Below are 13489 nucleotides of genomic sequence, written 5' to 3' on the forward strand. Positions count from 1 at the left end.
GGGAGGCTGGAATCTACAGTAGTCCCAGGAATGGCCCCAGGAGGAGTGCCTTCAGTGGAGGCTGGGAAGGGAAGGAGGCCAGATCACAGAGGGTTTGTATACAGACAGGGTCCAGGTGGGCCAGGCCACGCCCTACATTTTGGCATAGCTATTAATAGTCTCCCATTACTCACTAGAGCATCCCAATCAATTATGCAGACATCCTATTTATATTTATGTAATATGTACCATATATATACATATATATATGTATATATATATAGACTAAGGACTTGAACTTCATCCAACCACTTGCATTGCAAATGTAGAGGAATGTTAAGATAATAAGATAGGCCAGGCGCGGTGGTTCATGCCTGTAATCCCAGCACTTTGGGAGGCCGAGGCCGGTGGATCACGAGGTCAGGAGATTGAGACCATTCTGGCTAACATGGTGAAACACCATCTCTACTAAAAATACAAAAAATTAGCCGGGTGTGGTGGCGGGCGCCTGTAGTCCCAGCTACTCGGGAGGCTGAGGCAGGAGAATGGTGTGAACCCGGGAGGCGGAGCTGCAGTGAGCCAAGATCCTGCCACTGCACTCCAGCCTGGGCGATAAAACGAGACTCCATCTCAGAAAAAAAAAAGATGATAAGATCAATAGAATGTAGATTTGACCTGGGAAGAGGAGGAATAATCAGAGTCCAGTTGTGCACATATGTAACTGCCCACACCCGGCTTCAGGGGTTCTGCGTCAGAATCACTTGGGGTTTCATAAAATGGACAGTCACCCTAACTCAGTCAGACTCTCTAGAGGAGAAGCTGCGGAAACTGTAGGGTTAACAAGCCACCCAGATCATTTTCATGCGCTCCAAAGTATGGAAACCACAGACTGAAACATCACCAAGCTAACAGGTGCCTGAATGAGGTAGGAGGAGGGGGGCATAGCAGCTCTGCTCCAATGCTGTGTCTGCTGAGGGACAGGCCCGCAGGCCCCACAGAGTCTGCTCTGAGTATCCAGGGGCAGAGGAGGACATCTGCTCCTGGGAGTGGGGAGAGAAAATAAAGTAAGAACTATAACTAATCACCAGGCCAGGCAAGGTGGCTCATGCCTGTAATGCCAGCACTTTGGGAGGGCGAGGTGGGTGGATTGCTTGAGGCCAGGAGTTCAAGACCAACCGGGCCAACATGGTGAAACCCTGTCTCTACGAAAAATACAAAAATTAGCTGGGCATGATGGTGTGTGCCTTTAGTCCCAGCTACATAGGAGGCTGAGGCAGGAGAATCCCTTGAACCGAGGAGATGGAGGTTGCAGTGAGCCATGATTGTGCCACTGCACTCCAGCCTGGGCAACAGAGTGAGACACTGTCCCCCCTCCAAAAAAACGAAACAAAAAACCACACACACACAAAAACTAATCACCACCTTCATAAAAGCATCCAGGGCTGCCCTCATATTCAAGGCTTGTGCAGAGATAGAGAAAGAACAGGCAGTAGAGGAAAGGACGGCAGGAAGAAGGAGCCAGCAAAGCCAGGACTCTGCTGGGAACAGAGGGCATTGGGCTGTGGGGCAGGAAGTTAAAATCCAGGAGTGTCCTACCCGTGCAGGATGTCCCATCACATTCTTTTCGTAAAGGGCCCCCTGCGTCCTGTGCAGGCTGTGAATTGACATCAGCCCCTGCCTGACCTCCACCCCCAGCAAGCTTGCAGCCAAGCTGCAAACAGAATTCATGTCTCCTGATTCCTAAAGGTTCATTCTGAAAAAAGAAGGAAATAAAGAGAGAGAAAAAGAAAGAGAAAGAAAGAGAGAGGGGCTGGATGTGGTGGCTCATGCCTGTAATCCCAGCACTTTGGGAAGCTGAGGTGGGCAGATTGCTTGAGCCAAGTAGGTCAAGGCTGCAGTGAGCCGTAATCGTGCCACCGTACTCCAGTCTGGGTGACAGATTGAGATCCTGTCTCAAAAAAAAGAAAAGGAAAGACAGAAGAAAGGAAGAAAACAGAGAAAGAGAGGGAAAAATAGAGAGAGAAGAGAGTAGAAAAGATAGAAAGAAAAGGAAGGAAGGAAAAGAAAAAGGAAGAAAGAAAGAGAGAAAGAAAAAAGGACCAAACTTAGAACTGTTGTGAGTTTGGGCAGGAAAGAGAAGGCCAGCTGAGTCACCGTCATCAAGCAACGACACTTGGAACATCTCCTGGCATCAGGGTTTTCAGGAAAGGGCCCATTTTCTAACCTACCAGCGAGCACAAGGAAGATACCTGTTGGCAGGTAGCTTTCATGTACACTGACACTTTCCACCGTGTTCAAACTATCAGCTAAACCTGTCAATATTTTCCTTCTCCTCAGCTCTCCCTCTCCTCTTTGGCCGCCTATCCTTTTTTTTTTTTTTTTTTTTTTTTTTTTTTTTTTTTGAGATGGAGTCTTGCTCTGTCACCCAGGCTGGAGTGCAGTGGTGCCATCTCAGCTCACTGCAAGCTCTGCCTCCCGGGTTCACACCATTCTCCTGCCTCAGCCTCCCGAGTAGCTGGGACTACAGGCACCTGCCACCACGCCCAGCTAATTTTTTGTTTTCTCTTTTTTTTTTTAGTAGAGACGGGGTTTCACCATGTTGGCCAGGATGGTCTCGATCTCCTGACCTCGTGATCTGCCCGCCTCGGCCTCCCAAAGTGTTGGGATTATAGGCGTGAGCCACCGCACCTAGCCTGCTCCTATCCTTATTGATTGCCACCCTTCTCAAGACCCTCTGTAAAATTTCTGCATTCCTTCTAAACACAGAGCCCAAACAGCAAAAAGGATCTAATCAACAACAAACTCCCTGTTCTTATTTGCCAGACTTTTAATATTGTTTTAAGACACAGTTAACTTGCATTCAGTTTACAGCTCACTGTTGCTTATGTTCACTTCAGAGAAGTCTGTCTTTCTCAGCAATATAAAAACTGAAAACATTCTTCCTTAATTTGTATCTGGGTAGTTTTACTCTTAACTCAGTTGAGCTGCTTTAGGTCAAATGGTATCCCAAAATTTCCTAAAGTATGTTTCTCAGAGCAGGAGTATTAGATTATGTTCCTGGCTTAGGGATCAAATTAGGTGGAAGGGAGGTGGTAATGCAGACATCTCTTGGAGATTTACAATGATGGTAGCATGTAGAAGGCTGCGAGAAGTCTGCATTTTTCTAATTAAGTATTGCCCTGCTTACTAGCCTACTCCTGACACTGCAACCTCTAGCATCTCTTTCTGACTTCCCGGGAGCAAGGGCTTTCCTGGTGCTGGACCAACATGTCTCCCTAAATCCTCCACGTGGCAAAATGATATTCCTCACTATGTTGCTGATGACAAGTTTCAGGGTTTTTTCTTTCCCCAAATGAAATAAATGTCTTTGATTGCTTTTTATTATTATTACAACTATTTTTCATATTACTATATATTATATAATTTATTATTATATTATATATTAATAACAAGCAATACAGAGCAGCAAAAGAATGTAAAACATCTACGCTCTCAACAAAAACCACCGTCAACATTTCTTTCTAGATTTTTCTTTTTTTTTTTTTTGAGACAGAGTCTGGCTCTATCGCCCAGGCTGGAGTGCAGTGGCGCTATCTCAGCTCACTGCCAGCTCCACCTCCCAGGTTCATGCCATTCTCCTGCCTCCGTCTCCCAAGTAGCTGGGACTACAGGCACCCGCCACCACGCCTGGCTATTTTTTGTATTTTTAGTAGACACGGGGTTTCACCGTGTTAGCCAGGATGGTCTCAATCTCCTGACCTCGTGATCCGCCCGCCTCAGCCTCCCAAAGTGCTGGGATTACAGGCGTGAGCCACCGCGCCCAGCCGTTCTTTCTAGATTTTTCTAGGTATAATGTGTAATACATGTGCTTACGTATTTTTTTATGAGTTCATACCGTAATGTATTTTTTTAACTTATCAGTGATTTGAAGCTCACCATAATGTATTTTTATACAAGTAAATTAGTAACATCTTTCCACATCGAGAGTTCCATTTCTGTAATGTTATTTTAACAGCTACATAGGATTGTTTTGTATGACTGCAGCATAATTAATTAATTGATCCCCTATGGTGAGACATGTGGATTGTTTTCAGCTTTCCTTTATTCCAAGCAGAACTGTGATGAACATTTTTAGAGTTACAGCCTTGCACGTTTTCTCAGTTATTTCCTCAGGGTAGATTCCCGGAAGTAGAATTACAATGTTCCTTTTGACATGGTGCTGAGATCACGGGTAAGCACCAAGTGTGTGCAGGTAGGTCCCAGTGGTGGGTTAGGAACAGGCAGGATCCCCTGTTCCCTTCTCACAGGGACGGCACATTCACGTGCCCCACAATGCTTCTGCTAGTCTCCTTGACAAAGTACCACCAACGTGGTGGCTTCAAACAACAGAAATTTCTCTTAGTTCTGGAGGCCAGAAGTTTGAAATCAGACTGGGCATGGTGGCTTATGCCTGTAATCCCAGCACTTTGGGCGGCCAAGGCCAGTGGATAGCCTGAAGTCAGGAGTTTGAGACCAGCCTGGCCAACATGGCAAAACCCCATCTCTACTAAAAATACAAAAAATTAGCTGGGCATGGTGGCCAGCGCCTGTAATTCCAGCTACTCAAGAGGCTGAGGCAGGAGAATCGCTTGAGCCCAGGAGGCGGAGGTTGCAGTGAGCTGAGATTGGGCCACTGCACTCCAGCCTGGGCAACAGAGCGAGACTCCATCCAAAAAAAAAAAAAGTTAGAAATCAAAGGATTGGCAGGGCCACACTCCCTCTGAAGGCTCCACGGGAGAATCCTACCTCATCTCTTCCAGCTTCTGGTGGTCCCAGGCATTCCTTGGCTTGTGGCTGCATCACTCCAATCTCTGCCTCTGTCTTCACAAGACTTCCTCCTCTTCTCTCTCGATCTGTGTTTTCTTCTCTTCTCTCTCTTATAAGGACTCTTGTCATTGGATTTACAGCCCACCACATAAGTCAGGATGATCTCAGCTCAAGATCTTTAACTTAATTACATCTGCAAAGATCCTTTTTCCAAAGAACATCACCTTATGGGCTCCAGGGATTAAGGCAAGGCATGTCTTTGCAGGGGCCACCATGAAACCCATTGAGATGTGCTTCCAGGCTAGAAAGAGTGGCCTTCAAACTGGTACACACATGCATACATATGTGAGCAGGGGACATTCTTACCAAGTACAATCTTATGTGACACCCCAATATATAAAGGGGGTAAGTGGAGCTGTTTGGCTGAGGTGGAATGCAGGGAGAGCAGCATCACTCCATCAAGGACACACTGGATTGTAGGGGACGCAAGGACTCCAAGCCCTCGATGTCTTTCAAAGGAGGTCAGAGGGAGGGCCACATTGTACTTGCTGTCCTTGGGAGAACGCCCCAAACCCTCCCTCTCTGGCTCTGCGCCTTGGCCCACACAGGCCCCGTCTCTTTGCCACCACAGAGAGAATCAGGCACCCAGAGAAGTTCTGCACATGATAAGAAGGACTTGGGTGAGAATCACACGGAGGTCCTGACTTACAGTTTTTTTGAAAAGCAAATCATTCGCATATCTCAGCAAAAGTCCTCAAAGGACATTCCTGAGTTTCAGTGGGAGGAAAAATGAGTTGCTTTCTGAGCCCTCTCAGCACCTTTCTGGACTGGTGAATGTTACAATATGCTGTGTTGCTACAACTTTATCTACAAACTGGGCCCGAGCGTCCGACACAGACTGTTCCTGCACTCACAAATGACGGTGTATTCCAGAAGTTCATTTGTAGGTGAGTTGTTTGCATCTCAGAAAGCCTTTTCCCTCTGTCGGGGGCTAGAGATCTCAATGTCTATTGATTGTTACAGACAGCAAGACAGAGCTCTTGTAGCTGGCTGGCCTCCACCGTGGGCCTCGCAGAGCCCCCAGACTCAGAGCCCTGGGCAACACTGGGCTTGAAAGCAGGGCTAGAAGGGAAGGGCAAAATGGGGCACAGGGTCTCCCAGGCACTCAGCAGTCATGGGCATTGCTGAGGGGGTGCCAAGGACAAGAGGGTTGAGGGGCAAGACGGTCACCATGGGGGTGGCTGCAGAAGGCCGGAGCAATCTGTATGTCAGATAACTTGGTGGGGCAGGCCTGCCTGTATTGTTGCCATCTGGCTAATAAGGATTTGAAGGCTGTGAAAGGGAAGGGGTTTTGCTGTAATCGTTTCCTAGGGCTGCTAGGAAAACCAAGTGCCACCAACTGAGTGGCTTAAAGCAACAGAAATGTATTCTCTCGCAGTTCTGGAGGCTGCAAGTCTGAGATCAAGGTGTCAGCAGAGCTGTGCTCTCTCTCCCGCCTTCTGGTTGTTGCCAGCAATGCTTGGCGTTCCTGGCCTGCGGCTGCATGACACATTTCTCTGCCTCCGGTGCTCCATGGCCACCTCCCCTCTGCACGCCTGTCTCCACATGGCCTTCTCCCTGTCCATGTGTCTCTTCTCATAAGGACACCAGTCTTACTGGATCCTAATGACCCTATCGTAATATGATCACATCTGCAAAGCACCTATTTCCAAATAAAGTTACATTTACAGGTACTAGAGGTTAGGACTTCAACCTATCTTTTTTTGGAGAAACAATTTAACCCGTAACAGAGGCATATAATCTGTCATCCCACCTAAAATAAAAATACAATCTATAATGGCCATGATGTGTAGCCACAGAGCCTCTGCTAAATACTGCCAGCAACAGGCAGGGAATCCATTCCATTTTTAGGTAGCCCCAGTCATGAGCTACCTCATTCCTTAAAATGGCCCAAAATACGCTTCTCCAGACTTTCACCTGTTGAACTGTTTTCCTTTATTGAACTACATAGAATAAATCCAATCACTCTTGACAAAATCTTTTCAAATATGTGAAGCCCTCCCAGCCAGCCTCCAAATATTTTCTTAAAGCTAAAAATTCTCCAGATCTTTATATGATTGACATGAGGGTTTTTTGTTTTGTTTTTTGTTTTGTTTTGTTTGAGACAGAGTCTCGCTCTGTTGCACAGGCTGGAGTGCAGTGGCACGATCTCAGCTCACTACAACCTCCGCCTCCCAGGCTCAAGCGATTCTTGTGCCTCAGCCACTGGAGTAGCTGGAATTACAGGTGTGAGCCAACAACACCCAGCTAATTTTTGTATTTCTAGTAGAGACAGGGTTTTGCTATGTTGGCCAGGCTGATCTCGAACTCCTAGCCTCAAGTGATCTGCCCGCCTTGGCCTCCCAAAGTGCTGTGATTACAGGTGTGAGCCACTGTGCCCAGCCATGGTTTTAAGATCTCTCAGGATTCTAGTCACTGAACTCTGGACATGGTCAATGGTCTAGGCCCATCCTAAGAAGAGGCTTCCATGACTGAAAGCCTACAATGTAGATATGATCTGATGGATGAAGAAATCAATGGGTGTATTTATTTCTAGGATTTGAGCATTACCCCACTACAGAAACCTAACCTTGTATTGAGATTTCTGTTTTGGTTTGGTTACAGTTTGGGTTTATCCGCTTGCTTGTTTTGCAGAGGGTCGCAGAGTTTAGTGGCAAAGCTGGGCTGTTGACTCAGATTACGTTTGCGTCAGTTAAAATCTCTGAGCTTTTTCATAATTCCTCTTAAATCACATCTTCCACTCATTACTTGTGCTGTTTCTTTTTGAACCTCCTGCATGTTGGTTCCTATTAAATTTCATCTTACTGCTCTTTGTACTTCAATGTAACAGCACATTCCACCTCTTGCAAATGTTGGCATGTCATTCCTGCATTAGCCATCCAACCCAGCTCTGGTAATCTGCTTCCAACAGGAAAAAACAAGGAGGAAAGAGAACCAATATCTAGAACATTTATTAAGACGCCAGCAAGCTAGACAATTGTTAATTGACATCTTTTTAATTGACATCAACACACAAACAGAAAAGTGCACAAAAAAACATACAATTCAATGAATTCTCACAAAGCAGATGCCTGTGTAGCCACCCATGTCAAGAAAGAGAACATTAGGCTGGGAATGTTTTAATAAGCATTTTTCTCTTTAAATCCTCAAGCCTACTTGGTAATTATTATTAAACCTGGTTTACAAGATGATAAAACAGATTCAGAAAGGTTAAGTGGCTTGCCTAGCTGACTGCCACAGCTGGGAGTTGTAAAGCACGGAATGGGCCCCATGTGGTGGCTCATTCCTGTAATCCCAGCACTTTGGGAGGCCAAGGCGGGTGGATCACTTGAGGTCAGGAGTTCGAGACCAGCCAGGCCAACATGGTAAAACCCCATCTTTTTTTTTTTTTTTTTTTTTTTAAGGCAGAGTCTCACTCTGTTGCCCAGGCTGGAGTGCAATGGCTTGATCTCGGCTCACTGCAAGCTCCGCCTCCTGGGTTCATGCCATTCTCCTGCCTCAGCCTCCTGAGTAGCTGGGACTACAGACGCCTACCACCACGCCTGGCTAGTTTTTTGTATTTTTAGTAGAGATGGGGTTTCACCGTGTTAGCCAGGATGGTCTCGATCTCCTGACCTTGTGATCCGCCCACCTGGGCCTCCCAAAGTGCTGGGATTACAGGTGTGAGCCACTGCGCTAGGACTGAAACCCCATCTCTACTAAAAATACAAAAATTAGCTGGGCATGGTGGCACACACCTGGTAGTCCCAGGTACTTGGGAGGCTGAGGCAGGGGAATCGCTTGAACCTGGGAGGCGGAGACTGCAGTGAGCTGAGATTGCACCACTGCACTCCAGCCTGGGCGATGGAGTAAGACCCTGTCTCAAAAAAAAATCTAATATACCCCATAAAAATATAGACCTATTATGTATCCACAAAAACAAAAAGAAAAAGAAAGAAGGAACCCAACATTTGCCTATAAGAACAGAAACTACGCTTACTACAAGTCAACAAAGAAAAAAAACCAGTGTAGTCCTATTACCCCCATGCTTAGCACTGTCTGAAATGTCCTCTCCCTCCCTCCCATCCTTACTTTTTTTCTGATCAACACCTCTTCATCCCCACTTCAGCATTCCTTCCGCTGTGAAGCTTTGGGAGACTTTCTCAGGTTGAGCTAATCAGCTCCTCTTTTGTGACCTTCTGGTACTTCCTATTCTTCTAGTTAGAGCAGCGGTCTCATGAATAGACTCCTATTTCCTGGGTTATCTCCCTCACGAAAGAGTTGTCTTGAGGGGAGGAGTATGGTTTGTTCATCTTTGTGCTTCCACTGGTTAACAAAGTACCTGGAAAAAAATAGGCATTCAATGTGTGTGCTGTGGTATTGTTGAATGCGGTAGAGGATGGCTGAGAGAATGCAGAGCCTGAGTGCAGAAGCGGGGCTGCAGGTGCTGGGGGCTGAACCAGGGCAGCAGTAGTGGGGATGGAGATGCTTAGGACAGCTGGTCCTAAATCCTGGTCATTATTAAATCGCCTTAGGAGGCTGGGGAGGACTTTAAAATGCAGATGCTCAGGCTACTTCCAGATGTACTGACTCAGTCTCTAGGGAGGGGACTCCACATCTGAATTCATTAGAAGTCCTTTAGCAGGGCCGGGTGCGGTGGCTCACACCTGTAATCCCAGCATTTTGGGAGGCTGAGCGTGTGGATCACCTGAGGTCAGGAGTTCAAGACCAGTCTGGCCAACATGGTGAAACCCCATCTCTACAAAAAATACAAAAATTAGCCAGGCATGGTGGCATGTGCCTGTAATCCCAGCTGCTCGGGAGGCTGAGGCAGGAGAATTGCTTGAACCCAGGAGGCGGAGGTTGCAGTGAGCCAACGTCACAGCTCTGCACTCCAGCTATCTCAAGAAAAAAAAAAAAGTCTTTCAGGGGATTCGGATCCTCAGACAAGTTTGGAAACCACTGACATAGGTAGTGTCCTGAGTCAAACTTGGAGGACACATGGAAGGCAGGGAAAGGGGGGAAAAGAAAGAGGAGTCTGGGTCCTAGGTTTGCCCAGCATGGATGATGATGATGGCATTGACGGAGCGAGTGCTGGAGGAGCCTTGGGGTGAAGTTGTTCTGCACGAGCTGAGTGTGCGGTGTCCGCACATATCCCGATGAAGATGGCCTTTTGGCAACTGGGAGCCAAGCCGGGGACTCAGGAGAGCAATCTGTCATTTAGGACCTTGAGAATTTGCCGTTTTGCTAGGAAAAAGGTCATCTTCCCATACTCACTCTGTCCTCTAGTTTAGCAGAAAGAGGTAAAAATTACTTTTACTTTCTAACTGATTAAGCCTGACAATCAGTAGTGATAATCCAGAAATAAGTACATTTAATTCATTTATGACAGTCCTAGAGTTTGCATAGTTACCTGTTTCTCATAAACAAATGCTTTAAAAGAAATTAAAAGAAGGATATTTTTGAGAAAATATGCACTTTAAAAATGGTCATGTTTAAACTCCAGTGGATGTTAGTAATTGACTTGAAAGTCTGTTTTTACAAATAAATCCTGGACCCATAAATGGATATTTGACCCCCTATAGCATAAAAGGGCAAAAACATGTCTGTAGAAACATCTGACCTAATCAATTTTCAAATTAATCTAAAATTACTATTTGAATTCAAATGTAGTAAATGTCATGGGTCCTTTCCCTGGGGCACAGACATAAACCTGATCTCCTAAATGACATAAAATAGAGAACGGAGCAATTTCTTTGGTGAATATGAATAAGCATTGGAGCCCATCTGGATAATTTACATAAAAATTGGATTTTCGCCCTTGAATTATCTTTTTATAGTGGACATCTCTCATATTGTCTCCTCAGCCTCCTGTTCCCCTTGTCTTCCCCTGTGAGACTCCTGCAGAAACTGCCCTTTTTTTAATTTGTTTATTTTTGAGACAGAGCCTCGCTCAGTCGCCCAGGCTGGAGTGCAGTGACGCCATCTCGGCTCACTGCAACCTCCACCTCCTGGGTTCAAGTGATTCTCCTGCCTCAGCCTCCCGAGTAGCTGGGATTACAGGTATGCACCACCATGCCTGGCTACTTTTTGTATTTTTGGTAGAGACAGGGTTTCACCATGTTGTCCAGGCTGGTCTCAAATTCCTGACCTCAAGTGATCCGCCCGCCTCATCCTCCCAAAGTACTGGGATTACAGGCGTGAGCCACTGTGCCTGGTCAGAAACTGGCCTGTTTTTATGGTGCTCCCTTCCTCTGGTGGAAGTTCACTGGTCCAAGATCAAGCTCGCCTATCCCCATGGGCCACCAGCTCTCTCCCCAAGGGCATCTGCCTTTGGGATCCAGCCTTGAAGGCAATCCTTTTCTAGAACTAAGAACTCCCAGGATAAAACTTGGGAACTGACTACGTTACCTACCATTAAAAGAAATCCTTTCAAAAGAGAATGAAGCCCAAATAAGAGAATAAGAAACATCCTGACCCACTGGCGCCCCTAGTTCTAGTAGCTTCGGAAGCCAGGCTGGAATGAGGACCTCTCACAGTCGGATGGTTCATTCTTCTTTAGGTTCTGTGATCCAAGAACTCCTTTCAGCCTACTCTAGAGCAAGATGGGTTTCCAGTCTCCTGAAACTAGGACTGCCAAGAATAATAATGTACCATTTCATACAGATTGACTCTCCAACTCAACCTCTGAGATCCTAACTTTCCTCAAAACCAAACGAAAAGGAATGAGCGGAAGAAGATGCTCTCTCTTACCGGTTGAATTGTGTCCCCTCCCTGCAAGAGATATATTAAAAGTTCTGGCCCTGGTGCAGTGGCTCACGCCTATAATCCCGGCACTTTGGGAGCCCGAGGTGGGCAGATCACTTGAGCTCAGGAGTTCAAGACCAGCCTGGCCAACATAGCGAAACCCTGTCTCTAAGAAAAACACAAAAATTAGCTGGGCGTGGTGGCGCACGCTTGTAATCCCAGCGACTCGGGAGTCTGAGGCAGGAGAATCGCTTGAACCCTGGAGGCGGAGGTTGCAGCAAGCTGTGATCACACCACTGCACTCCAGCCTGGGTGGCAGAGCAAGACTCTGCCTCAAAAAAAAAAAAAAAAAAAAAAAAAAAAAAAAAGAAGAAGAAGAAGAGAAGAGACACAGAGACAGAGACAGGGAAACAAGAGAGAAGATGACCATGTGGTGACAGGTGCAGAGAGTGGAGTGATACAGCTGCAAGCCGAAAAACATCAAGGATTGCTGGAAAACACCAGAAACTAGAAGAGGCAAGGAAAGGTTTTTCCCTACAGGTTTCAGAGAGAACATGGGTAAAACCTTGACTTCAGTCTTCTGGCCTCCAGAGCTCTGAGACAATGTGTTTGTGTTATTTTAAGCCACCCAGTTTGGCATACATTATTTGGTAGCCCTGGCAAACTAGTAGTTTCTAAGATACTTTCTATCCCTACATTGTCCTGCTTTGGTGCTTTTATATGGTTGAGAAGGGGCCAAAGGTACCAAGTTCTTTTCCTTGTGAAGTTCAGATGGATGCCCTGATAAATGGGGCAAGAGGGATGAGGGAGGGGATTACAGACTGTGGGATTATAGACTTTTAGCCTAAGGCTTTGTATCCAACAGTTGTCAAATTGAGGTTACACACTGAGACTTGGTTAGGGGGGCACTTCAGACATACAGCAGACCCTCAAAAAAGGTTGCTTTTCTTTATATCTTATATTAATACAAAGAAGAGCTGAAAAAATACCTTCAAAAGCTGTTTGCTGTGAGCTCAACTGCTGACTCCACCCCCCAGCCCAGTTCCATGCTGCTCCTGTCCACTCCTTCTTTTTTTTTTTTTTTTTTTTTTGGATTTTTGCCAAAGTTCCAGGCCAAAGTTTGTAAAAGTCCCCTCTTCAAGGAACATTTATTTAGAATGTCTTGCTACACGGGAAAACACAAATCTCTCTTGGTTTGTACCATGCGGTCTTAACCAGAGCAAAATCTAGTTGGTAAACAAACCAAAAAAAAAACCCACTTTGGCCTCCACAGCTGCCACCCCTTACCTCCATCTCTCACACATTTTCTAGTATGTAAAGAACTTGTGACTGTGAGGACGAGTAGATTTTCACACAGATAGAAACTGAGAGTACAGCCATTCATCACTCTGTGGACAAATCTTCAAATCCATGCCTTTTCACTCACTGGAATATAAGAAGTTAACTGTATTTTCACAGGATAAATCTGGATGTTTCAGTAAATCTTAAGTTGTTCATGCTAACCACGAGTGTGTCTGTCAGTAATACATGAAATCTCCAAAAGATTTAGGAGCGACATTGATGAAGGTGTTTATTTTTATTTATTTTTTTTATTTATATATTTTATTTATTATTATTTTGAGTTAAATTAAATTAAATTTTCATAGAGTCTTGCTGTGTTGCCCAGGCTGGTCCTGTTGTTTCTTTTTCCCTTCCTTCCTTCCTTTTTCTTTCTCTCTCTCTCTTTCTTTCTTTCTTTCTTTCTTCTCTCTCTCTTTCTTTCTTTCTCTCTTTCTCTCTTTCTTTCTTTGTGTTTCTCTCTTTCTTTCTCTTTCTTTCTTTCTTCTTAAGACAGAGTCTCACTCTGTTGCCCAGGCTGGAGTGCAGGCTGGAGGGCTCACTGCAGCCTCTACCTCTGCAGGATCAGGCAATCCTCCTG

General features: G+C 45.7%; 1 long non-coding RNA gene across 1 annotated transcript in view; it reads right to left on the reverse strand.

Moving 5' to 3' along the window:
• Positions 1–8998, reverse strand: part of LOC124901432 (uncharacterized) — a 62877-nt gene extending 53879 nt beyond the window's left edge. The window contains exon 1 of the long non-coding RNA XR_007059813.1: positions 8917–8998. This is a non-coding gene — a long non-coding RNA (uncharacterized LOC124901432). The remainder of the gene's footprint in view (positions 1–8916) is intronic.
• Positions 8999–13489: the final 4491 nt, after the last annotated feature.

Source organism: Homo sapiens, chromosome 6 (assembly GCF_000001405.40).
Source record: "Homo sapiens chromosome 6, GRCh38.p14 Primary Assembly".
NCBI classification, from domain to species: Eukaryota; Metazoa; Chordata; class Mammalia; order Primates; family Hominidae; genus Homo; species Homo sapiens.